Source organism: Homo sapiens, chromosome 1 (genome assembly GCF_000001405.40).
Source record: "Homo sapiens chromosome 1, GRCh38.p14 Primary Assembly".
Taxonomy (NCBI): Eukaryota; Metazoa; Chordata; class Mammalia; order Primates; family Hominidae; genus Homo; species Homo sapiens.
Window position 1 is genome coordinate 205048007 of NC_000001.11, and position 25633 is coordinate 205073639.

General features: G+C 53.9%; 1 protein-coding gene across 6 annotated transcripts in view, besides 6 other annotated features; it reads left to right on the forward strand.

Moving 5' to 3' along the window:
- Positions 1–25633, forward strand: part of CNTN2 (contactin 2) — a 35341-nt gene that overhangs the window by 5058 nt on the left and 4650 nt on the right. For 2 of the 6 annotated variants that reach the window (XM_047429104.1, XM_047429102.1), the window contains exons 2-22: positions 5094–5249; positions 9915–10059; positions 10175–10350; positions 10562–10657; positions 11078–11287; positions 11577–11676; positions 13239–13414; positions 13859–13995; positions 14434–14563; positions 16316–16466; positions 16617–16744; positions 17081–17256; positions 17783–17903; positions 18435–18593; positions 19095–19244; positions 21485–21555; positions 21821–22055; positions 22420–22532; positions 23941–24127; positions 24477–24589; positions 25062–25558. In XM_047429104.1, the coding sequence (XP_047285060.1) occupies positions 5180–5249; positions 9915–10059; positions 10175–10350; positions 10562–10657; positions 11078–11287; positions 11577–11676; positions 13239–13414; positions 13859–13995; positions 14434–14563; positions 16316–16466; positions 16617–16744; positions 17081–17256; positions 17783–17903; positions 18435–18593; positions 19095–19244; positions 21485–21555; positions 21821–22055; positions 22420–22532; positions 23941–24127; positions 24477–24589; positions 25062–25558 (3341 nt within the window). In that variant the 5' untranslated portion in view covers positions 5094–5179. Of the gene's footprint in view, positions 1–5093; positions 5250–9201; positions 9405–9914; positions 10060–10174; positions 10351–10561; positions 10658–11077; positions 11288–11576; positions 11677–13238; positions 13415–13858; positions 13996–14433; positions 14564–16315; positions 16467–16616; positions 16745–17080; positions 17257–17782; positions 17904–18434; positions 18594–19094; positions 19245–21484; positions 21556–21820; positions 22056–22419; positions 22533–23940; positions 24128–24476; positions 24590–25061; positions 25559–25633 lie in introns of all 6 variants that reach the window. The other 4 variants (NM_001346083.2, NM_005076.5, XM_017002199.3 and 1 more) reach the window with 3 other exon arrangements.
- Positions 6171–6366: a silencer, noted in NCBI's record as "fragment chr1:205023305-205023500 (GRCh37/hg19 assembly coordinates)". NCBI's record gives its function as "represses an EF-1alpha promoter that drives an FKBP-Casp9 reporter gene in an ReSE screen in phorbol 12-myristate 13-acetate-treated (for megakaryocytic differentiation) K562 erythroleukemia cells {active_cell/tissue: K562(+PMA)}" and the evidence as "EXISTENCE:reporter gene assay evidence [ECO:0000049][PMID:32094911]".
- Positions 6171–6962: a biological region, named in NCBI's record as "H3K4me1 hESC enhancer GRCh37_chr1:205023369-205024096".
- Positions 6235–6962: an enhancer, noted in NCBI's record as "H3K4me1 hESC enhancer chr1:205023369-205024096 (GRCh37/hg19 assembly coordinates)". NCBI's record gives its function as "activates a minimal SCP1, AML or CMV promoter by ChIP-STARR-seq in naive and primed H9 embryonic stem cells {active_cell/tissue: H9 hESC(naive and primed)}" and the evidence as "EXISTENCE:reporter gene assay evidence [ECO:0000049][PMID:30033119]".
- Positions 6558–6702: an enhancer, noted in NCBI's record as "145 bp 1:205023764 sequence used in MPRA reporter constructs". NCBI's record gives its function as "activates a minimal TATA-containing promoter with rs4951163 allelic activity by MPRAs in UACC903 melanoma cells {active_cell/tissue: UACC903}" and the evidence as "EXISTENCE:reporter gene assay evidence [ECO:0000049][PMID:36423637]".
- Position 6630: a transcriptional cis regulatory region, noted in NCBI's record as "rs4951163 or 1:205023764 MPRA-significant variant associated with a GWAS melanoma risk locus at 1q32.1". NCBI's record gives its function as "allelic transcriptional activity by MPRAs in UACC903 melanoma cells {active_cell/tissue: UACC903}" and the evidence as "EXISTENCE:reporter gene assay evidence [ECO:0000049][PMID:36423637]".
- Positions 24412–25611: an enhancer, noted in NCBI's record as "MED14-independent group 3 enhancer chr1:205041546-205042745 (GRCh37/hg19 assembly coordinates)". NCBI's record gives its function as "activates an origin of replication core promoter dependent on BRD2, BRD4, P300/CBP and CDK7 cofactors, and independent of MED14, by STARR-seq in HCT116 cells {active_cell/tissue: HCT116}" and the evidence as "EXISTENCE:reporter gene assay evidence [ECO:0000049][PMID:35650434]".

Consider the following 25633-nt stretch of genomic DNA (forward strand, 5'->3'; position numbering starts at 1 on the left):
GGCCTGCCCTGTTAACCAGTGTGCTGTTTTATAGGATAGAGGTCAAGCGGGGGCCTGAAGGGCTCCTCAAGTACTTTGTAGGCTGATAATAAATCACTTAGTCTCTGCCCACAGCTGGGCTCTGAACTCCCCTTTGCTACCACCATCCATCGGAAGTTGCCAAATCTCTCATTGCTCTCCAATCTCCATTACTGGGGAGAAGGGGAGACAGATTCAGGGCCAGGAGCTGGGCATCCCAGTAGGGAGAACTCTGGGGTGGAGGGTGTACCTTTTATTTTTTGACTGGCTCCATGCGGGGGGCCTTATCCCAGAAAACCTTGTCGTGTGTTGGAGCCCCACTCATAGCCTTCTGTCCCCCAGCTGTCCCCCAGGCCCTTTGTTTCCTGGGACTGACAATTCAGCCAACTCCCCCTGGTGCCCCCGAACCCCCCAGTGGTCCACTCCCCCATGTGCTGGTGCCTTGCAGGACCAGCCCCTGCTGATGACAGCCTGTGCTTGCCTGTGCCAGTCTGTGCCTGCACCCCTGCACCAGGGCAGCTGGCCTGGGCGAGGCTTGGCTGGCTCAGGGTTCGCAGGGCCAGCTCTGGGCCTGGCATAGCTCCACTCCAGCCTTGCTCCTGACAAAAAGGCCTCCTCCATCCTGGGCATTCTAGAACGCATAATAGGGCAGATGGTATGGGGAGATGACTGATCGGTGAACTCATGAGCGCATTCTAGGCTGCACTCGGGCGGTCGGGGAGCTCTGTAGAGGCAGTAATTTTATTACTGTCTCCCCTGTGCTTAGCACAATGCCTGGCACATGGTCAATAAACACTGTGATGGAAATGGATGCAGGGCAAGACTGGACGCCAACTGCCTCACCTTTAGGGAGGCAAGGAGCTCCAGCCTTTAGCCCAGACTCTGCGTGTGTGTGTGTGTGTGTGTGTGTGTGTGTGTGTGTGTGTGTGTGTGTGTTCACCCAAGGCTGTGGCACACAATGGAGCTCAATATACATCTGATCAGGCTGATGGGTCTGTGGTGCTCCCCCAGGGCAACCCCAGGTGCTCCTGGATCCCAGCCCCTCCCCTGCAGTCTCCTCTAAGGCTGTATGTCTCGATCCCTGGAGGGTACCCAGGATCCCTGGGCCGGATTATTCGTGATTACCCATGGTAATTACTTATGGTAATAGAGATAACAGATAATTCTGACTACTGGAGGTGGAGGCGAAGGATCTATGATGCAAACCTCCTGGTGGGTTTCAGGGAAACAAGGCAAGGGGCTGAGTCCTCACACCCGACACACACACACACACACACACACACACACACACACACACACACAGACATACACACAAAGACCGGACATCATCATACACAGACACATAGACACATACATACATATACACATATATACATATACATATATGTATATCACACATATACACAGGGACATATAGACACAACAGATACCCACAAGCATTACATCCACGCACACTGGGACACAGACGCGCACACACACCCAGCTGTCACCAACACTGCTGTGGGAGCTAGGGACTCCGGGTAGGAATCTGCTCAGAGGCTATCCTGGAGTCTCCAGCCCCTGGTTGTCTGTCTCTGCCTTGCTCTGGCACATTCAGTACAAGTGCCTGGAGCCCAGGCTCCTCCCCAGGCCAGCACCCTGCCCCCAGTGAGCTCCCGGGCCTGACAGGCTGGCAAAGAGCAAGGAGCAAATGATGATTGAGCACCTTCTCTGTGCCAGGCATCAGGACGCAGCACACCAGTGCCAACGGGGTGATTTTCCAACTTTTTGGAGCCATGGAGCCCTTTGTTTAAAGGGAACTTCATAGGAAAGTCCTGCATATAAAGCAGATACAAGTGGAGCTGCTCTGGCTGGAGTGGAGAAGGAGTCTGGAGCCCCATGCTCTCTCCCTAGCCTCCCATGGTGGCCTTGAGACAGGTCCAAACAGCCCCAAGACTTCACAGCAGCTTGAAAACCACTGCAGGGCACTCTAGCACCTCATGGAACCCTCCAAAGAACTCTGTAAAGTGCATGTTACAATCTCCACTTTGCACATGAGAAAACTGAGGCTTCACAAGGGGCATTAACCTATCCCAGCTCACGAAGCTGTTCAGAGATGAAGTCAATATTAACAACTCCTGTTTATCAGGTTCAAACCCTGGAAGGTCCCGACACCTCTCTATTCTGAGGATAACTCCCTGCATTCGTATAGCATCCAGGGACATATGTCTGTGATTTCCCCTGACCAGATACGCTGCTGACCCTAGAGCTCTGAGTGTGTGTGTGTGTGTGTGTGTGTGTGTGTGTGTGTGTGACAGAGAGAGAGAGAGTTTGTCTTGGGGCTGCCCCCAGGAAGAACGGAAGACCTGTCAACCCTATCAAGTATATACAGACTGTCCCTGACTTACAGTGGCTTGACTTAAAATTTTTCAAATTTACGATGGTGCAAAAGCAATACACATTCAATGGAAACCATACTTCGAGTATCCAACAACTACTCTGTTTTTCACTTTCAGTACAGTATTCAATACATTACATGAGATATTTAACACGTTATTATAAAATAGGCTTTGTATTTGGTGACTTTGCCCAACTGCAGGTGAATGTAAGTGTTCTGAGTACATTTTTTTTTGAAATGGAATTTTGCTCTTGTTGCCCAGGCTGCAGTGCAATGGCATGATGTTGGCTCACTGCAACTTCCATCTCCCAAGTTCAAGTGATTCTCATGCCTCAGCCTCCCGAGTAGCTGGGATTACAGGCACCTGCCACCATGCCCAGCAAATTTTTGTATTTTTAGTAGAGATGGGGTTTCACCATGTTGGCCAGGCTGATCTCGAACTCCTGACCTCAGGTGATCCACCCGCCTCGGCCTCCCAAACTGCGGGGATTACAGGCGTGAGCCACGGTGCCCGGCCTTCTGAGTACGTTGAAGGTGGGCTAGGCTAAGCTATGATGTTCAGTAGAATAGGTGTATTAAATGGAGTTTCAACTTATGATATTTCCAACTTTCAGTGGGTTTATCGGGATGTAACCCCATCGTAAGTCAAGGAGCATCTGCATGAGCCCCATCATGTGTGCCCACGCATGTGTTCACTGGCTCCTGGAGGCATATAATCACAGTTGTTCTTGACCAGTTAAATGCAACATACAAGGAACAACTATGATGTGCCAGGTACTTTGCTAGGCATAGGTAATACCAAGATGAACACAACACAATCTCTCCCCTGGGCAGCTCAGAACCTTCTAATGGAGATGGACACAGTTCTACAGGCAGGGTACCAAAGCTGTAGTCAAGAACAGAGTGAATTGAATTTTTTGCGTAGACAGGGGCATCTTAGGCCCTTCCCGGCAGGGATGAGACATGGACAGGGCCTTGCAGGAGAGACTGCCTTGCCTAGGAAGGGCATTACAGGAGAGTGAAGATGGATGTGCTGGGGGAATGTCGGAGGGGTTGCAAGTGCAGAATGTCTTGAGTTCAAGTCGAACTGAGAGTGGCAAGGACAGGGAGGGGCAGGTATTTTGGGAGAAGTGGCACCTGGGCACCCTGCCTGTCAATCGGAAGTGGATATGAGGCTGCAGTCGGGGTGGAGGAGGGAGTGCCATCTGCTCCAACGCCCCCCACCCCCAGCAAAACACCCAGCTTCTCGGCTTCCTTGGCCATATCCTTCCTGACGGGCCCTGGGGACAACTCTCCCTTCTCTCCCCCCAGGCTCCTTTGGGTGCCAACTGTGGCTGTGAAAGAGGCAGGAAAAGGTTGTGGAGTGGTCAAATGTGGAGGGTTGAAAGGGTTTGGGAGCTCTCTTCCTGAGAAAATAGAGTGTGATGTGAGACAGGGCAGATCCTGAGCTTGCACTGGCCTTCAGCCCCTGCACAGGCCTGAGAGGCAATCTTAGGTCCTCTGCAGCCTTCTTTCTCCACACGGGTCCCCATCCAGGGGACAGCATTCCCAAGCCCTTGGCCACTCTGCATTCTGGGAGCATCACCAGAGCCAGAACACTGAGATCCAGAGATGGGACGGGTCTTGCAGGCAGTTGGTGAAAGGGCCCCCAGCCAGGCTCTCTCCCCAAGCCCTGACCCCCTCCCACTGCTCTTAAGTTTCCGCAAAGAGGGCAGGCAGAGCAGAGCAGCAGAATCTGCAGCCGGGCTCGCTGGCCCCTGTGGAGGCTCTGAGCCCAGTGACCCAGGTTCACTCTGATAACCAATAACTGGAAAGCAGGCCCCTGACATTCCACACTCCCCTCTGAACTAGGAAAGTCCTCCCAGGGACTGGGAGTGAACGGGGAGGCTGGCTCTGCCCCCGCCCTCACCTCCCAAGAGAAGGCCCCATCTCTGAGACTGATGGGACAGGCATCTGACTTGCTCTCAGCAGCTACAGGGAACAGGTTCTTCTCCAGAGCTCAATGATTGAACCAAGCCTCAGCTCATCTCTGTGCAAGAGGGAGGCTCCTCTGGGAGATGCATTAACTCTTTCGACCCAGAAAGCCTGCTGGGCCCCTTCACCCATCTGGTTGGGGGCATTGCTAATGGGGCCAAGGTCATGACTCCACTGGCAAGAGGGTGTGGACAAATCAGTGAGACCCCTCCTCACTGCTAGGAAAACAAGACTGGGAGACTTAAGGCAGCTCCCAGAGGGGCTTACTAGCCCCCACCCAGACAGCTGAGGGGAAGGGGCAGGGGGAAAGTCAGCCCTGAGCCCACCTGCCAGAGGAAGATGTTACTGACTTCCAACCCATGCACAAGTCCTGTTCTCTTCCGGCCTCGCCTCAAGAGCTGACGGGCGAGACGGCAGGTGGGTTCTTACCTCCCAATTAATCACTGCTTTCACTTCCTAAGCGGCACCCCACTGGCTGGAATGGGGGCAGGTGGGGGTACAGGGCTGAGCCAGACTCCCAGGGGACCAGTAGGAGGCACTCAGCCCCAGGAAGAGCTTCTTGGTAATAGCCAAGCCCCTTCCTCTGGGGCCCTGGGGAGAATTAGTGCTTGGGCAATTCCGGCAGCTCCCCAGGCCGAGGTAAAAGCTTTACGGACCCAGATGTGCCTGGAGCTGGGAGGGGCGCTCCTCGGCTCAGAGCCCTCCTTTCTGTCTGCCTCCCCAGGTCCTTTCTCAGCCTCCAGCTGGGCTGTCCCCAAGCTGAGCTGAGGCTCTTCTCCTCCGATCCCCACCTCTGCCCGGACATCCACCATGGGGACAGCCACCAGGAGGAAGCCACACCTGCTGCTGGTAGCTGCTGTGGCCCTTGTCTCCTCTTCAGGTAAGAGGGCTCATCTGGGCTTTGAAGCCTAGCAGGCATGATTATAGTGTTATATCCTTGCTATGATTTGGGTGACGATTACAGAAATCATTGGCTCTGCATTGTGGGAGCAGCTAGATTTCTGAGGCCATTTCCTTGCTAAAATTTCCCATTTGTAGATCTTACCTTCCTTTGAGTTTAGGAGGAGAGGGAATATGTCTTTGCCATATTATAGATGAAGGAAGAATGACCCAGAGAGGGTGAGTGGCTTACCCTAGGTCACACAGCAAGATGATGGCACGCCAGATCTCCACAATATCACCCGGAGTTGTAGCCTCAAAGGCTGCACTGTCCAATATGGAAGGTAATAGCCACATGGGACTACTACAACTCAGATTCAATTCCATTTTAAAAATAATTTCCTCAGGTGCACTAGCCACATTTCGAACGTTCAGTAGCCATATTGGATAGCACACAGCATAGAACATTTCCATCATTGCAGGACATTCTCCCAGACAGGGCTCTGTAGTCCCCTGACATGAGCAGACAGCGGTCAATCCCACTAAACCCTGGAAGGGTTTCTTAAGGCAACGCTGCATCCCAGCAAATGGACCAAGCATAGAACAGGATCTGGGAAGAGATGCGGCAGACGAGGGAGCTGAGGTTCTCCTCCCAGGGGAGCTTCCAGCTTGGAGGAGAGGCAGAGGAAGGCTGGCAGGAGGGGAAGGAGAGGGTGAAGAGGGCAGGCCGAGAGCCACAGGCCAGCTGGACTCTGGAGAGCATGTCAGGCCAGAGGAGCCGGGCCGCTGGCCTGTCCTAGGGCAAGAGGGAGGTCCCCAGCCGCCTCCTGCTCTAAGGGGTCTGCTGGACCCACTGCTTGGCCTCTGCCCTGACCCTCAGCCCAGATCAATAGATGCTTCTTTTCTCCTTAAACATCTCTGTGGGACTCTCCATGGTCCTGGAGTTCTAAGCACCTCAGACTCCACCTCCCCTACCCCACACCCCCTGCAAGGCTACAGCCGGTGCATTTCAGGTCCTTTGTCTCACGAGGGAGGGACTCCACTGGCATACTTTCAGACGTTCTCATTCTGTCCTCACTGCTTCCCAGTCCTGCAGCTCAGTCAGTGAGGCTGCTGGGAAACAGGGCTGACTCAGAGTGTGGGGCGAGCCATCCAGCCCCCCAGGCCTCGCTACCTGTCCAAGGGTCCACCAGACTGGGAAGAGCTACAGGGATGGGAAGCCTCAACTGCACAGAGCAGGAGATGGGCACCCCAGACGGAGCAGAGGGGAGGCGCCTGGGCTTCTAGCATCCGCTCCCTCAGGGACACCTCAGTGCTGGATCCACACCATCTGAGGAAAGGGGTATGGACAGCATCCAAGTTCCTTAGACCCAGAGACACATGAAGCCAATGACCAAGGGGCTGGGATCTGGTCTGCCACCTCCCAGAGCTCCAGAGAGAGACAGGAGTGGCAAATCCCATCGCTGGCCCCCACCCCTCCCAGGAAGTTGCCTCAGCTCTGGGCCTTTCTTGCTGCCCTGTCCTCGGGATATAGCTGTGGATTCCTGGCACTCCAGTGCAAGGAGGGGTATCAAGGATCCCTCTCCACCTTCTCATCTCTTTAACTCCGTTCCTCTGCAAGGTTTCTGACGCCTGTGTTTGGGGGAAAAGTTACCAGGACAGGGCATCAGAAAAGAATCAGAGAGGATGAGGAACAAGAATAAGGAAGGGCTGGCCTCGCCTGGGAGAGTGTGTTTTGTTGTTGTTGTTGTTGTTTGCGGGTTTTGTTTTTGTTTTTGAGATGGAGTCTTACTCTGTTGCCCAGGCTGGAGTGCAGTGGTGTGATCTTGGCTCTCTGCAACCTCTGACTCCTGGGTTCAAGCGATTCTCCTGCCTCAACCTCCCGAGTAGCTGGGATTACAGACACTCGCCACCACGCTCGGCTAATTTTTGTATTTTTGGTAGAGACGGGGTTTCACCATGTTGGCCAGGCTGGTCTCGAACTCTCGAGCTCAGGTGATCCTCCTGCCTCCGCCTCTCAAAGTGCTGGGATTACAGGCAGAGAGTGTGTTTTTGCATGTGCATGTGTAAGCACACACACGGGGAGGCTCATGTGTGGGTGGGTGTGTATGTAGCTGAAGAGGCAAGTGTGGGTGTGTGAGGGTGTCTGTGGATATGGATGGCTGAGAGGCTGGAGGTATGAGTGAGGTGCCTGCATGGAGGTGGTACTACGCTGGGGATAATGAATGTGTCCAGAAAGTCTCACAGCACAGTGTGACCAGCTCTCATATCCCAGCCTCCCTGCAGAATGCCCAGGGGCATTTTCTAAGACTTGGTCTCCTGAGCCTCACTCCAAGAGATTCTGACTCCTTATCTGTGAGATGGAGCAGGGCCTCTGGTGGTTCTGATGGGAAACAGAGGTCAAGAGTCAGGAACAGTGGGGTTAAGAATGCTTGTGGTGGGGTCAGCCTGGCCAAGGTCCAACCCCCCAGATCCGCTCCTTCTCGCTGTGGGATCTGGGGCAAGTTATTGAAGCTTTCTAACTGTCAGTTTCCATGTCAGGAAAATAAGAAAATGGCAATACCTATCTTGTAAAGAGGTTATGAGAAGGAAATATGGAGCATGGTATGGGATAAATAGTAAGCAGTCCGTCTATAGCACCTATTTTTATTATTATGAATGCATGGATTATATATAAAAGTCTCCATGGCCATCTATAGCTGTGTGTCAGGGGGGAATGGATGTGTGTGTAAATGTATGTATCTTGCCATTTGAGCAGCTTAGGGAGGTGCATATGTACGAATGTGTGTATGACATGAGCGTGCATATAAGAAAATGTGTGTAGGTGAGAGATGCGAAGGGGTGTGTATGTGAATATTTGGGTGAGTGGACAGCTGAGAGCAGAGGAGAAAGGTTTCTCGGGAAGAAAGAGTCTGAATGTATCAACATGCCCTGAGCCCACTCAGCCACCCCATCACCCAGCGTTCCTGGAAGCTGCTATTGTACTAGGTGGTTCCCAGCAGTCCGGCTGCCTCCCAGCGCCTCCTTTGCCTCCCCTCCCAGCAGTGCCAGCTGGGGCAGGATTCCTACCGTACACCACCATCATTAACTTGGGATTAAGCTGGACTTTCCAGCCGAGATGATGCCGTCACCGCCCGCCGCCTCCGCCTCTGAGGCCTGGGGCGGCAGTGAGGGAGAATGGCACAAGGGATGCCTGCACCGGGCCATTCCTGGGAGCCCTGCCTCCTACCTCATTCTGAGAGCTGCTTAGCAGCTGCCCTCACTCCCAGGGGGCCAAGGCTGGGCCTCAGCTGCAGCATGGGGCCACCCCCTACCCCTGGAAGAGGACTGATGGCTGGATGCGCTGGGAAAGGAACTAATTAGTTAATGGGGATCCCTTTCCCCATGACCCACCAAGGAAGGCCTGAAATCAGCTGCGTTAAGAGGTAGAAGCCAATTAGGGATAGCCTGGCTCCCACCTGACACCGCAGAAGCAAAACGGACTGGCCCCACCAGTCAGCAGAGAGCCCACCCCAGCCCTGTCGAAGGGCAGGTGTGATGTCCGGCCAATCTGTGGCTCTTCATCCCCTGCCCTGCCCTGCAGCAGGACAATGATGCATGAAGAGAGAGGAGTCTGCCCCATTTGCCTGTGTGGTGCTCATTGGTCCACCAAGCTCAGGAGGAATTGATCTGTCTGTGCCACAGACTTGCTGGGTGACCATGGGCAAGTCACTCCCTTTTCTGGACATTTCTTGAATTGTGATACTGGAATTGTATAAAACTGCCACCAAAGCAAACTGCCCACCCTCCACCCACCATAAGGCAATCCTTCTCCTCCAAGTCCCCACCCCACATGTGGCTCCAGCAGACATCTGCTGAGCACACTCTCCGTGCCCGCCACCTTCCAAGGGTTTGTCTGGCTGAATCCTCATGCAGACCCTGGGAGGTGAACTCATATTCTTTTCATTTCACAGGTGAAGATACTGAGGCTCAGAAGAGTTCTATAACTTTCCCAAGGTCCCACAGCTAGTAGAGGGCCAGCCTAGTCCCCAGGCCCAGGCCTCGTTGGTCCACACTGCCCCAGTAAGGGTATTAGGCTCCAGGGACACACATCCTCTCTGCATGTTTGTGGCTGGCGACGTCTCATGCACCTCACACCCCACAGATCAGTTCTTCTGTAAGGGTCCCTTGAAAGCCCCCTGGGAGGTAGAACTGCTTCCATTCTGAGGCCCCAGCATCTTGAACTTTATGGCATTTGCTACCTTGCACTGTCAATTTCCTGTCTCCCTCCTTGGACCGCAAGCCCCTTGAAGAAGAGGGACTGTGTCTTAATCATCTTTACAAGCCAGTCTCTAGCCCAGTGCTGGGTATAGAGCAGGTGCTCAATACCTAAGTGTAGGATGGGTGATTGATTGAACTAGTATGGCCAGATGGGGCCTGCCCAGCCTATTTAAATTCAAATTTAAATTAATTAAGTAATATAAAATGTAAAATGTCGTTCTTCAGTCGCAATAGCCACATGTCAAGTGCTCGATAGCCCTACGTGGCTAGTGGTTACCACATTGAACAGTGCAGAAAATGGGACATTCCCATCATCAGAGAAAGTTTTACTGGACAGCACAGCCCAAGAGGCCAGGCTCCAGCCAGGCCAAGGCTCTGAGGCATCTGGTGGTGTCATCACCTGCAGCTTGGAGTTCAGCCCTGGGATCCCAAACCACCTTCGGGCCTGTCTTTGAAGACCAGCCCCTCAGTGTGCTATTCCCAGAGGAGTCCACGGAGGAGCAGGTGTTGCTGGCATGCCGCGCCCGGGCCAGCCCTCCAGCCACCTATCGGTAAGGCCTCTGCAGTGGGTGCTGGGAGGCCCTGGGCAGCCGTTGAACTTTCCCTCTCATCAGCCCTGCCACCAGGCAGGACTCAGAGGTCCCCTTCCTCTGTCCCCTGCTGCAGGTGGAAGATGAATGGTACCGAGATGAAGCTGGAGCCAGGTTCCCGTCACCAGCTGGTGGGGGGCAACCTGGTCATCATGAACCCCACCAAGGCACAGGATGCCGGGGTCTACCAGTGCCTGGCCTCCAACCCAGTGGGCACCGTTGTCAGCAGGGAGGCCATCCTCCGCTTCGGCTGTGAGACCCGCGGGGGACCAAGACACTTTGGGGGAGGGGGAGAGGGGGCTAGGAGAAATTACTGAGAAAGGATAAGGGACACCCTCAAGCCGGGCCTTCCTGACCTCACATGACATGCCTTAGTGAACTGCTGCTTCTCCGTGAAGGATGAGTCGGGGAGGGGCTCGCAGGCCAGGAGGACAGTGCCTGAGCCCCTGGTCTCTGCCTCCAGTTCTGCAGGAATTCTCCAAGGAGGAGCGAGACCCAGTGAAAGCTCATGAAGGCTGGGGGGTGATGTTGCCCTGTAACCCACCTGCCCACTACCCAGGTGAGTCCAGACCTGGGGCCAGGGTTAGAGAGGGCACAGGAAGGGCTTCCAGATGCTTGGCAGAGGAAGGATGGAATAAAAGGAGACCCCTGGAAATGACCCTTAGAAGCACCCATCCCTGGGACCCTAACTTTAAATGATCTGTGTTTCCTTTATAGGTCTGTCACTTTCCATCGTTGTGCCCTGCTTCCGCCTTCAAACTGGGTGGCCCCTGAGGGCTGCGATCCCTGGCAGACTTAGCGCTCCCTGAGGGCAGGAATAAAGTCACTTCTTCCCTCTAGGTCTCCCCTTAGCCCCAGTTCAGAGCATGGTGGCTGTCAGGACAGGGCTTGCAGAACCGCACCAGCATGCTGGGGTCCCACCCAGAGTGGCCCTGTTAGCCCAGCACCCCCTGGTTTCCTCAAACTCCTCACATCCTAGGCTTGTCCTACCGCTGGCTCCTCAACGAGTTCCCCAACTTCATCCCGACGGACGGGCGTCACTTCGTGTCCCAGACCACAGGGAACCTGTACATTGCCCGAACCAATGCCTCAGACCTGGGCAACTACTCCTGTTTGGCCACCAGCCACATGGACTTCTCCACCAAGAGCGTCTTCAGCAAGTTTGCTCAGCTCAACCTGGCTGCTGAAGGTCAGGCTTGGCCAGGCGTGGCTGGAGGGAGGGAACTGGAAGGGTCAGCGGGCATTAGGAAAAGGGTTTTTCCTTTGGAGATTGGAAGATCAGCTTGCAGGGCACTGATTCCAGGCCCTGGACCCCCAGATCCTCCTGCTTCAAATCCTGAGGCCCTTGCCCCAGGCCTCAAGGAGATTCCACACAGCTGCCTAGACAGAGTTGGCTCTGAAAGGTGCTGAGATCCCATGCACGGGAGCACCTGACCTGGAGTCATCTGCATCTGATTTGTAAAACCCTCTCTCCCCAGATACCCGGCTCTTTGCACCCAGCATCAAGGCCCGGTTCCCAGCAGAGACCTATGCACTGGTGGGGCAGCAGGTCACCCTGGAGTGCTTCGCCTTTGGGAAGTGAGTGTGAAGAGGGAGGGGAAGCAGAGCACGGTCTCTCGGGGGCACAGGTGACCCCAGGGTGAGGGCAGGCAGAGTCAGGGCTCTTATCTTGGTGTCCCTCACAGGGTCTAGCAAAGTACTGGGCACACAGTGGGTATCGACCACCACTCACTGGACAGTACCTCTCTGGGTGAGGCATCGCATATGCCAGGGGCCTTCCATGGCCAGGATCACTTGGTCTTCCAGCAGTGCATGGCAGGCTCAGACAGCTTGAGTAACACCCAGGGCTGGAGGCAGGCAGCACAGTGTACAGACTCCAACCCTGTCTGTCTCATTCAGATCCCAGCTCTGCCACCCGCAGACCTTGGGTAAACTGCCTAACCTCTCTGTGCCTCAGTTTCTTTATGGTGGTGATAATAGTACCTACCTCATAGGGTTGTCATGAGGATTAAATCAGTTCATATATGTGAGATACTTAGAACAGTGCCTGGAATTTAGTTAAGTGTTCCGTGAATGTTAACAGTGATCTATTTGAGAATGGCAGCAGAAAGTGTTCTCTTTCTCGTACTCCTAGAAGAAGGAGTCACTAGAACAGGGCTAAGCAAATAGCAGGTGCTCAATAAATGTTTGTAGTATGAAAGAAAGAATGTGATTTGTACTTTGGCCCCCTCCTCCCTCAACTATCTCCTATGGTTACCTGGGAGAATCTCTGCCTTGTGGGAAGTTTTGGGCTTCCAGAAAATCCACATGAAAAGCATGTGGAAGTGGGGCCAGGTGCGGTGGTTCATGTCTGTAATCCCAGCACTTTGGGAGGCCGAGGTGGGAAGATCATGAGGTCAGGAGATCGAGACCATCCTGGCTAGCACGGTGAAATCCAGTCTCTACTAAAAATACAAAAAAAACTAGCCAGGTGTGGTGGCGGGTGCCTGTAGTCCCAGCTGCTCGGGAGGCTGAGGCAGGAGAATGGTGTGAACCCGGGAGGCAGAGCTTGCAGTGAGCCAAGATTGCCCCACTGCACTCCAGCCTAGGTGACAGAGCGAGACTCCGTCTCAAAAAAAAAAAAAAAAAAAGAAAAAAAAGAAAAGCATGTGGAAGGGGAATATATTAACCCATTAAAACTGATACCTCAGTCCGTTTTAGTGCACAGATTACTACTAACTAAAGTCCCTTTCAAAGTAGGGGCAAGGCCTGCCCTGTAGAGGCAACGGAAAAGAGAACCCGTAAAGACCCAGGTCACAGGCCACTGTGGCGGAGGGCAGACCCAGAGGCATGGTGACCGGTGCGGGAGAGGGCAGGCCAGCTTCAGGGTGCAGACCCCGCAGAAGCCCGGCTTCACTGGCTCCAGGGTTGTTGCAGGGGGGATGGGTAGAGCAGCCCTGCCTCTTGCCCCTTCCCTGCGTGTGCTCCGAGCCTACCTGGGAGAGGAGAGTGAGGATCAGCCAGAAGGCACCCTCTCTCCCTCTGTTCCTCCCAGGCCCAGCATCTCAGGAGGGCCTGAGAGTCTGGGTATGAGGAGCTGCGGGCACTGGAGGGGTAGGCCCAGCTCAGCCCACACCCTCTGGCTTTGTCTCTCCTGCCAGCCCTGTCCCCCGGATCAAGTGGCGCAAAGTGGACGGCTCCCTGTCCCCGCAGTGGACCACAGCTGAGCCCACCCTGCAGATCCCCAGCGTCAGCTTTGAGGATGAGGGCACCTACGAGTGTGAGGCGGAGAACTCCAAGGGCCGAGACACCGTGCAGGGCCGCATCATCGTGCAGGGTACAGAGCCAGGGACACCTTCTCCGCCCCTCCCGACCCCCCTTCCCGCCTTCACCCTTGTCCCCAAGGAAACAGACCCAAAAGTCAGGGAGGAGACTGGGAGGCCCCCTGCATGAGCCTGCTTGCCCTAGGACTGCACTGAGTCTGGGACCAGAGGAGGCTAGTGCTGTGGTCACCTCAGAGCTTCAGTCAGGGGTGCAGAAAGCACACAGGAGGCTCCAGAATGATTTAAGTTGCAAAAGCAGCCACTGGCACAGCCACAGAGTGCCAGCTTTCTTGTGCCTCCTTCTTCCGGCCCCCTCCTCTTTGTCCTCTCCATCTCAGAATGCTCATGGCGCCCTCTGCTGTCTGGCACAGGTGCTGCTGCCCTGATTTTCTGTTCCTTTTAATGAGCTGGAAGCTCCTCCTAGCTCATGCCAGGTTTTCTTTTCCGGGCTCCCACAGCTCAGCCTGAGTGGCTAAAAGTGATCTCGGACACAGAGGCTGACATTGGCTCCAACCTGCGTTGGGGCTGTGCAGCCGCCGGCAAGCCCCGGCCTACAGTGCGCTGGCTGCGGAACGGGGAGCCTCTGGCCTCCCAGGTAGGAGACATGGGGCTTCCCCCGACACATCACAACTGTCCTCTGCTCACTTGGTTCCCTCCCCCGCCCAGAACTTCCCCTGCACCACTAGTAGCCCCTCTGGGCTAATTAGGGTGTCAGAGGGTGGTCCTAGGACCACCTAAGGACTTCTTCCCATCCCAGTCCCATTGTCACAGGCTAGGCCTGGATCCAGGCACAGTTCAGCCACAAAAGAAGTGATGTGGTCCTGACTGGGTCACCTCACCCTTCCAGCTTTGGGGAGGCCTGGGTAATCTGCATCCTGAGGTTCCAGGCAGCCCTGAGGTAGGACTGGACATATAAGCCATATCCTCTAGGGATTATCAGCCTAGAGTCTCCACTGCTCCCACCCCTGCCAACCCCTCCTCCCTGTGGCTCCTGTGGTCCTGATCCCCCTGGGCTCTGGGCTCTTCTGCACAGAACCGGGTGGAGGTGTTGGCTGGGGACCTGCGGTTCTCCAAGCTGAGCCTGGAAGACTCGGGCATGTACCAGTGTGTGGCAGAGAATAAGCACGGTACCATCTACGCCAGCGCCGAGCTAGCCGTGCAAGGTAAGGGGCCCAGGGAGGCAGGGGACATCCCAAGGACATGCATATGGTGGCTTTCAGAGCTCTGAGTTTAGGTGTTTCCAAACACACATGCACATACCCTGTGGCCATTTTCCTTGGTTTTCCAACAGTTTCTAAGTAGGAGAACTCAGAGATTTAAGAAAGGAGATGAGACACAGGGTTGACAGCTGCCAGAGGGCAGGGTCTCTGACTTGTTCCATGTCTGGCACACAGTAAATGTTTGCTGCAGTGAGTGAAAAAAACAGAAACCAAATCAATCAGATTTGTGTAACCCAACCCTTTCAGCTATGTGAGCTTTGGCAAGTTACTTAGTGTTTCTGTGTTTCAGTTTCTTGATTATAAAATATAGGCAATAATAGTCCTGCCCTCCTGGGCTGCTGTATGGAACAAGTGAGATGAAAGAGGTACAGCATAAAGGGCCTGCCCACCATACAGCAGGTGCCCGGGAAATGTAAGCCAGTGCTAATATTTAGTTGTGTGACTTGAGCTCACTGAGCCTCAGTTTCCTCATCCATAAAATGGACACAGTGATACCCACCACATCAGGTTTTAGTGAAGCTTTGCTAAGAAGCATTCATTCGTTCCTTCATCCATTCAACCACTACTTACTCAACACTTCACAGGGATGAATATAAAAGATACGGTCTCTGCCTTTAAGTAGCTTACAATCCAGTAGAGGGAAAGGGACAAATAAACCCCAAATCAAACAATTAAATAATTTCAGCTAGCCATCAAATATAGTATAAAGAAAATCCAGGCAGGGTGCAGTGGCTCATGCCTGTGTAATCCCAGCACTTTGGGAGGCAGGGGTGAGTGGATCTCCTCAAGCTCAGGAGTTTGAGACCAGCCTGGGCAACATGGTGAAACCCCATGTCTATGAAAAACACAAAATTTAGCCAGGCATGGTAGCACACACGTGTAGTCCCAGCTACACAGGAGGCTGAGGCAGGAGAATCACTTGAGCCCTGGAGGCAGAGGCTGCAGTGAACTGAGATTGTGCCATTGCACTCCAGCCTGGGCAACACAGCAAGACTTGTCTTTTAAAAAAAAAAAAAGAAGAAGAAAGAAAAGAAAAGAAAAAGAAAGAAAGAAAGAAAGAAAGAAAAGAAAAGAAAACCCAGTAGAGTGATGGGCGTGAGATGGGCCTGTTAGGTGGGGTGGTCAGAGAAGTCCTCTCTGAGGAAGTCTCATTTAGACTGTGACCTGAATGTTAAGAAGCCAGCCGCGTGAAGATCTGGGGAATTTCCAGGCAAGATTTACAGCAAGTGCAAAGCTCTGGAGGCAGGAAAAGACTTCACAACTTCAAAAGAGAGAGAGAGAGAAAAAAAAAGGCTAGGTGATTGGAACATAATGAATGGGGGATAGAGTGGAGCAAGATGCGATTGGAAAGGTGGAGACTTATTTGTGAAGAGCCGGGCTTCACTGAGTGTGAGTTGAAAAAGCTGTTCATTCCCAACTGGGTGGAGAAAAGATTGTAGAAGGAAGGTGCAGAAACAGGAAGACTGATGTGGGGTGGCAGGGGTGGTGGTGAGGGGCGGAGGGGGGGCGCGTTGTCAATAGTCCAGGCGGGAGATTTGATAGCTTAGGCCAGAGAAAAAAGGGCTTGGTTCTGGATGCATTCTGGAAGAGGTGCTAATAGGAGTCACTCATGGCGTGGCTTCAAAGGGCACGCCAAGTAACGTCTTAATCAAGGGTGACAGTACTTTTCTCTGTGGCTCTCCCCTTTCCTTCTAGCACTCGCCCCTGACTTCAGGCTGAATCCCGTGAGGCGTCTGATCCCCGCGGCCCGCGGGGGAGAGATCCTTATCCCCTGCCAGCCCCGGGCAGCTCCAAAGGCCGTGGTGCTCTGGAGCAAAGGCACGGAGATTTTGGTCAACAGCAGCAGGTACCACCCACACCCCACCCTGCACAGTTCCTGCTCCTCCTCATTCTCCATGGAGGCCAATTCCCCTCCTGTGACAACAGTCACAGGAGTTGGCCAGCCCCAGGGACAACCATGCCTGAGTTGGCCACATCTGCCTTGTCCTTGCCACAGAGTGACTGTAACTCCAGATGGCACCTTGATCATAAGAAACATCAGCCGGTCAGATGAAGGCAAATACACCTGCTTTGCTGAGAACTTCATGGGCAAAGCCAACAGCACTGGAATCCTATCTGTGCGAGGTGAGGGCTGCCATGTGGGTAGGCCGGGGGCTCAGCCTCCTCAGGGTACTGTCCTCCCCATCATCCTGCTCCTGTGTCCACATTGCTCCTAGTTTGGTGTCAAGGCCACCCCAGGATTCAGTTTTGCTTGGGACCACCCCCTGGCCACCACTGAGACTCTGGTCATGCCTCCCTGCCTGCCACACACTCATGCAGTCCTGGGCAGTTGGGACCTGTGGGTCACACCACCTCTTCTCTTTGCTGGGCCTTAGGACAGAGCCTCTCAGCCTGCCCTGCGGACCCGGCCTGGGCCCATTTCCTCCCCCATCCACCCAAGGGCCTTGTTTTTCTTGGCAGATGCAACCAAAATCACTCTAGCCCCCTCAAGTGCCGACATCAACTTGGGTGACAACCTGACCCTACAGTGCCATGCCTCCCACGACCCCACCATGGACCTCACCTTCACCTGGACCCTGGACGACTTCCCCATCGACTTTGATAAGCCTGGAGGGCACTACCGGAGAACTAATGTGGTGAGACCTAGGGCCAGAGCCCCATGGCTTCTCCCTCCTTCTAGAGAGACAGGGGCCCCAAGATGTCCTTAGCCATCCTCACCTTTAAGAAACCCATAGCCTAAGCGCCCCCATTCCCTCAGGCCCACACATGGCAAGCTCATCCTTGGATGAACAGCTGACCTTCCTGGATTCCACCCAGGGACCATGCATTTAGGAGAGGGTTAGGGACAAACCTGGAGTTGTGGGCAGCCACCAAGACACTCCCACTACTGTTCTTGTTAGCCTGTCCCCTAGGGCAAATGATATTATTAATGTGGACAGTCATTGACTGTCTCCTGAAACAAACTTTGCTGTTTAGTCCCCAGTGGTTCTAAGTGATGAGTCGTGATTCCTCCCATTGAGCAGACAGGAAAACTGAGATCCAGTGGGGTCCATGGATGTCATGGAGTAGGGGACTCCCAAGCGCTGCCTCATGTCTCATGGCCTGCTGCACTGGTCAGGGCCGGTGGTCTGACCTGCTGCCCCTAACTGTCCCCGTGTGCAGAAGGAGACCATTGGGGATCTGACCATCCTGAACGCCCAGCTGCGCCATGGGGGGAAGTACACGTGCATGGCCCAGACGGTGGTGGACAGCGCGTCCAAGGAGGCCACAGTCCTGGTCCGAGGTGAGGGGTTTCCCACCTCTACCCCTACCCCAACTCCCTTAAAACCCAGCTGGGCTGTTCTGACCTGCTCGCCTCATCTCCCCTCCCTTCCCTCAAAGCTGCGGGGAAGGGCTTCCGGCGGAACTCCTGTGAGCTGGATATACCCTGTGGTTCTTCACAGGTCCTAAATGATCAGGACATTTTTCTTCCAAAGTCAAAGTTTAAAAAATCCACTCCTAAACACATCCCAAGACAGGAGTGCTTTACTGAGCCCTGAAGTTTTCAAAGCCTAGTGCTGGGAGATCTATGCACCTCTCCATGTGACAGCCTCTGTGAGCTCCCCCAGCCTTGAGACACATCCCTCCACCCAACAACTGGCACCCGCCCCAACTGCCCACACCCCTTGCCCGCCCTCCCGCCTGGGTGTGTGTTCACTGCATCCTCTGCTGCCCTGTCTTGGTACTGTACCAGCTCAAGCCTGGCTGGGAGGAGGTTGGCTCAAATTGGAAGCTGCCCAATTCTGACCCACTGTGCTCTGACCTCTTGGTGCAGGTCCGCCAGGTCCCCCAGGAGGTGTGGTGGTGAGGGACATTGGCGACACCACCATCCAGCTCAGCTGGAGCCGTGGCTTCGACAACCACAGCCCCATCGCTAAGTACACCCTGCAAGCTCGCACTCCACCTGCAGGGAAGTGGAAGCAGGTTCGGACCAGTAAGTGTGAGCCCCACCTGGGTCAGTGCTGATAAGGCTCGACTGGGTGTAGGAGGTGGAAAGGGTCAAGGTTTGGGGATCGGGGTCTGAGGGCCAGGGCTGAGCCTGGAGCTTCAAAGAGGGACAAGATCTGTCCTCTGCCAGCAGAGAGCATGCAGGCAGGCAGGAAGACAGTCACACAGAAAGTAGGAGAGTCGGGAAAGAGTTAGAAGAGGAGGCGCTTGGTCTATGCCCTTGAAGAATTGGTAGGATTGTTACTGGAGCAATGAAAATATTCATGGGGACATAGGGGCGTAGGCGTGCACACAGCATTGCAGAGGCACCAAGATAGGGAAATTGAGTAGTTTTTCAATCATTTCTGAAAAAGGTACTGAGTGCTTAGTATATGGCAAGTACCGAAGTGAGGGCTGGGTAGATAAGGGGTGATTCAGGCCAGTGCCTGCCCTCTGCACCCAGATGAATAAGCGAATGCTGGAATATGGACTCCCTGGTGCCTTGCAGATCCTGCAAACATCGAGGGCAATGCCGAGACTGCACAGGTGCTGGGCCTCACCCCCTGGATGGACTATGAGTTCCGGGTCATAGCCAGCAACATTCTGGGCACTGGGGAGCCTAGTGGGCCCTCCAGCAAAATCCGGACCAGGGAAGCAGGTGAGAGTCCTGTGTGTCCCAAAAAGCTATCATCAGGGCAGAGACCCTGGCACCACTTATAGGGAATGCCAAGCCAGCCGCAATTATGCTGAGTTCCAACCCTGCTCACAGGGTTCAGACTCTCACAAAACAGAGGAGGACAGAACACCAAGTTGGGACCAGGGCCACTGCATGGACAAACCATCTAGTCCAAACTCCTCATTTAAAAACTGGCCAACCTTACAACTGCATGTGCATCTATAATTTTTTTAAGTTTAATTTTTAAAAGTGGAAAAACCAAAGTTCGGAGAAAGGAAGAGTCACATTGACAGAGCTTGGACTTGAACCCAGGACCATGGGGTGGTAGACAGATGTCTTCCTGGAAGAGTATGCACTACAGAAATCAGTTAATGCTGGCTGGGCGCAGTGGCTCAAGCCTGTAATCCCAGCACTTTGGGAGGCCGAGGCAGGCAGATCACCTGAGGTCAGAAGTTTGAGACCAGCCTGGCCAACATGGTGAAACCCCGTCTCTACTAAAAATACAAAAATTAGCCAGGCGTGGTGACACACACCTGTAAATCCCAGCTACTCGGGAGGCTGAAGCAGGAGAATCGCTTGAACCCGGGAGGTGGAGGTTGCAGTGAGCCAAGATTGTACCACTGCACTCCATCCTGGGCGACAGAGCGAGACTCCATCTCAAAAAAAAAAAAAAAAAAAAAAAAAAAAGAAAGAAAAAAAGGAAATCAGTTGATGTGAAAGATGTGTGTGTGTTCTGTGCAGGGGGCTAGGGAAGCAGCCAGTGTCTCCAAGCCTTTAGATGGTTTCTTTGGGAGCAGATGGAATTGAATAACCTGCCCACAACCCTCAGCAAAAAGCGTGTGGGTGTCAGAACTTGAGTGGAGAAGGAGGGGGAGAAAAGAACCCAGGAGAGAGTAGGGGAGGCACAGGCTCCAGTCAGCATCTGCTGAGAGGCTCCTGCCCATCTCCGAGCCATTCGCAGGGGAAGGCCTGGAATGAGAGCCCGGGGATCCTGGGACCAGGAGCATAGATTAAGGACCCTGCCTCACCTCCTCTACAGACCTGTTGCACTGGATGTGTAGTGAGGGTCCACCTTCTTGTCTGCCTGAAACATGTTCTCCTACATGCCCCAGACTGACTCTCCAGGCCCTTTTTCTAGAATCACTCAACATTTTTAGCTGGTACCTCTCCTGAGTAAGAAATTCCAGAGGCAGCACTTTCTTTGATTGATCCTGAACTTCTTGGAGGGTCAAATGTGGAGAAATGAGGGGACTCCTTTATTCTATTTACAGCATCCCAGTAGCTGAGGAGCACAAAGACAGCTGTGATGCAAAGGAAACATGATGGGCTTTAAAATGAGAAGGGCTGAGTTCAGATTCTACCTGTGCCATGTATTAACTGTGTGACCTTAGGCAAGTTGATTAACTGCTCTGGGCCTCAGTCTTTCCACCCTGAAAAGGGCAATAATAACACCCACCTCACAGGATCAAATGGCCAATGTGTTTAAGTACCTCTTGCAAATTACACGGTCCTAAACTATTGTCATCAGAAGCAAGTGAAAAATCTCCAGCTGCTGGATTCTCTACGGAAATATTTTGACCCCCAGCCAAGTTACTTTCTGCCAAGCTGCAGGAGCTGATGAAATAAATTCCTGTTTTAATATCAGCCTTGTTTAATACTAGAGACAATTAGGAGATTAAATCTGCAACAAAAAGAAAAATAGATAATATATCACCCTGGAGCCCAAAAGTAGTTTGTTTTGTTTGTTTGTTTGTTTGTTTGTTTGTTTGTTTGTTTGCATTAACTGCAGTTCTGGGTTATTTATTCCCCTTATTTTAAAGCGAGTGAGAGTTGGTCTCTGTGATTTAGTTTAAGTTGATGGAGTAAGGAGGACAATGATCATGTGTGCATCATCTGCTCTATACTAACCACCGTCTTGTCTAATTTCATTCTCATTATGGCCTCTGAGAGAAACATGATTATCTTCATGGAGAAGAGAATCAGAGGCTCAGAAAGGTTAAGTGACTTGCCCAGGGAAGCACAGCTAGTAAATGGCAGAGGTGGGATTTGATTTCAGGACTGCCTGACTCCAAAGCCTATGTTCAGAGGGACCACTGGGGGGCAAACCCAGGGCCCAGTTGAAGGGGTTCCCATCTTACGGTGCTCTACAGGCACAGGCTCAGGGCTTTCATTTTTTCCTTGCTCATTAACAAGCCATATCGGTGTCCCTTGGCCCTTGACAGCCCCCTCGGTGGCACCCTCAGGACTCAGCGGAGGAGGTGGAGCCCCCGGAGAGCTCATCGTCAACTGGACGGTAAGCTGCAAGGGTCAGATGTCCTCCTCCTCCTCCCTGACCCCTCTCCCGCTTGAGCAGCTGCAGAAAGGACCACTGCACAGCTCTGACTCAAACGCGGATAACTTCCTGTCCCCCTTCCACGCACCCGCTGCCCCTTACGCGAATCCACGCTGCAGGCGTAGGCGTCCAGGGCCGCTACTCTTGGCAAAGGTTGGGTGGGGCCAGGGAACGGGCAGGGACACATGCCGCGGACCCTCGCCCATGCCATGCTCTTGCCCCTCAGCCCATGTCACGGGAGTACCAGAACGGAGACGGCTTCGGCTACCTGCTGTCCTTCCGCAGGCAGGGCAGCACTCACTGGCAGACCGCCCGGGTGCCTGGCGCCGATGCCCAGTACTTTGTCTACAGCAACGAGAGCGTCCGGCCCTACACGCCCTTTGAGGTCAAGATCCGCAGCTACAACCGCCGCGGGGATGGGCCCGAGAGCCTCACTGCACTCGTGTACTCAGCTGAGGAAGGTGGGCTGCCCCTGGGCCCCCTGCTCGTCCCTACCCCAGCCACTTGTCCACAGGGATGTGGGGTGGGGGAACGCTACTCATCTCCCAGCTCAGTTCCATAGGAGGAGGTTGAGAGGACACCTGGGTTCCACATCATTGGCCTCACTTCCAGCTCTTGCTACCTTGTCTCCCTTCGGGGTTAGGAAAAGGGAGGCTCTCTGGGAATAGAAGTGGGCCCTGGAGCATTGCTTGGGGGGCTCCCACTCGGCCTTCATCCTGAAGGCTTTCCTCCAAAATCTTAAGCAAAGGCAATCCTGGTTGGGGGCTGCTCTGCAGGACACAGGGGGGCCCTGGGAATCCAAACCCATTCTGTATTGGTCCCCAGAGCCCAGGGTGGCCCCTACCAAGGTGTGGGCCAAAGGGGTCTCATCCTCAGAGATGAACGTGACCTGGGAACCCGTGCAGCAGGACATGAATGGTATCCTCCTGGGGTATGAGGTGAGCACCAACCTGGGACTTGGGAGAGGAAGGGGTGCTGGGGCTTCAAAGCCAGGTGGGAACAACTCACAGACCACTAATCATTCCTCCTGGCGTCCCTGGTTCGCTGACATGGCAAACTGAGCATCCAGTCTGTGTAGCACTGTGAATGCAAATTTCACTAAGACCCCATGGCAGGCCAGGCGCGGTGGCTCATGCCTGTAATCCCATCACTTTGGGAGGCTGAGGCGGTAGATCTCCTGAGATCAGGAGTTTGAGACCAGCCTGGCCAACATGGTGAAGCCCCGCCTCTACTAAAAATACAAAAATTAGCTGGGCATGGTGGCCCATGCCTGTAATCCCAGCTACTCAGGAGGCTGAGGCAGGAGAATCGCTTGCGTTCAGGAGGCAGAGGTTGCAGTGAGCTGAGATTGCGCCACTGCACTCCAGCCTGGGTGACAAAGCGAGACTCCATCTCAAAAAAAAAAAAAAAAAGACCCCATGGCTTATGCCCATTGGGGAAGACAGACCCTGGAGGCAGCCTTAAAGTAAATGCTTGGCTAGAGCCAGCATTGGAAGCTGAGAGGGTAGAAGGAACAGGTTCTGGGAAGGGGCATGGCCTGCCCCTTTCATCCCAGAGCCCATTCAGGCTGGCCTGTCCAGGGCTGCACAGAAAACAGCCTGAGCCGCTCTATGGACAGTTGATCATCCTGTCCCGGGGGAATCTGGGGCCCAGCAGTCTGGCCTGAGTCCTGGGCCCACTGAGAACTCCACAAAGGGGTACCTGTGGAGCAGATGGCAAGTGATGGGAAGCAAGAGGGAGAGAAAGAAGGAAAAGCAAGAAGAAACCATCAAGCTGGGCCTACTAGTGATAGCACAAGTTCATTCTAGTAGAGTACTCTAGATTTGAGTACAATAGCTTAGGCAAGCCACAGTGTGGAGATAATTCCAAACTCTGCCCTTGCCTCTGCCTTTGAAAGCATATTTAGCAGGTCTTCATGCTATGATTACCATGAAAATGGGTTTGCATTTATTAGGCAACCTTCAGAAGCTTGCTTAGGGCCAGGGGACTACTTTGCAATACAAATAAGCATTTTCTGTCCCTTAGCAGAATGCCCACGGTAGCCCCCCAAGTTAATGAAATGAAATGGGTTCCAGCAGGCCATTGCTAGGTTGAGCCTGTGCCACCAGCTCCCTCCCTGACCCATGTCTTGAGCACCTTCCTTGAACTACGCACCAACAGACAGCAGGGACTCACACCCACATGGCCCTGCTGTCTGGGTGCTCATGATCTAGTCTCCAGGTTCTGAGGCCTAAGACTGGGTCACAGGGACCAGGATGAGCAAGAGAGGAACAGAATGTGGGGGCCGGGGCAGCCCTGAGATCCTGGGCTTGACTACTACCCCTTGGGTACCCCCGCCTCCTTCAGATCCGCTACTGGAAAGCTGGGGACAAAGAAGCAGCTGCGGACCGAGTGAGGACAGCAGGGCTGGACACCAGTGCCCGAGTCAGCGGCCTGCATCCCAACACCAAGTACCATGTGACCGTGAGGGCCTACAACCGGGCTGGCACTGGGCCTGCCAGCCCTTCTGCCAACGCCACGACCATGAAGCCCCGTGAGTCTGTCTGCCTGGGGTGGGGGTAGGGCAATATTTTGGAGGGTGGGTGCCTCTGAGATCATTCCTTCCCCAATGATAAGACAAATGCTCTAGCCCACCAGCTCTGGGCTGAACAGAAATTAGGCAGCGAGCCTAATGGAAATAAGGGAATGGAATTCATGGCCCCTGAAGCGTCTCACACTTCTCCAACCTTTGGATTTTCATGGGCTTTGTTTCGTGGGCATGACAGAATGTGCTGGGTGTAACTGCTAGAGGCAAACATCCAGAGAAGGGCTGGTTAAAGGTGAGGGGGTGCGGGGTGCCAGGGAAACGTTTGGACATCTCTCCAATTCTTCCTCTCTGGCAGCTCCGCGGCGACCTCCTGGCAACATCTCCTGGACTTTCTCAAGCTCTAGTCTTAGCATTAAGTGGGACCCTGTGGTCCCTTTCCGAAATGAGTCTGCAGTCACCGGCTATAAGGTGAGGAAGCAATCAGCTAGGCCCAGAATGGGAAGGAACAGCTCCTCTGTGTTTCCAGTGAACATAAGCAGCAGCAATTTATAGCAAGAGGCATCTGAGTGAGACATAAGCAAAGGGTTTGTGACTGTGAGAGGAATGAAATTCATGAACTATTCTCTCAGTAACTTGCAGTAGAAACTATAAAAACGGGCAGATGGTATCACTGCAGAAAGGCAGAGTTCACAGGGGCAGTGATGGACTATGGGGATGGAGTATGGGGGTTCTTCTAGCTTAAGGAGTCTACGGAAACAGTTCAGTGGCCTGCAAGCTTTCCTCCACCAATGAGGAGCTTTGTCAATGGGGAGGAGGGGTGAGGAGGCTGGACCTCAAGAGCCCAGAACCATCGGGTCTCCTCCCAGTACCTAAAGCTGGGGATGACTCAACGATCAGCCCTGGTGTCAGGAAACTCCACCTGGAAACCTCCTTCCCACAGATGCTGTACCAGAATGACTTACACCTGACTCCCACGCTCCACCTCACCGGCAAGAACTGGATAGAAATCCCAGTGCCTGAAGACATTGGCCATGCCCTGGTACAAATTCGGACCACAGGGCCCGGAGGGGATGGGATCCCTGCAGAAGTCCACATCGTGAGGAATGGAGGTGCTGCTCCTCCCCTACCCTTATCCCCTCGAGAGATTCAGGATCCACCCAGATACCTGAGAGGATCATTCCCACCCAGGCCAACTCCAATCTCTACCCGCAAAGGAAAGTGGAAGGCAGGCAGGAACCAAGTGCAAAGTAGTCTTAGAACTGCCTCGCCGCCACCTTTCTACCCAGCCCCCAGAACATCCCCGAGGGCCAGGGAAGGGCGCAGGGTGCAGGGGGAGGCTGAGGACCAACCAGCAATAGCAAACGGCCTACAAAGCACCGTAGGAGTCGGACTGAGAAGACCACCCAGCCGTCCGCTCCCAGGCCTGCAGCTGGCCCTGTGAGTCTCCTTAGGAAAGGTCTCAATCTTGCCACAAGGGTGGGGCTAGGGTAGTCCCAGGCCCAGCTGACTCAG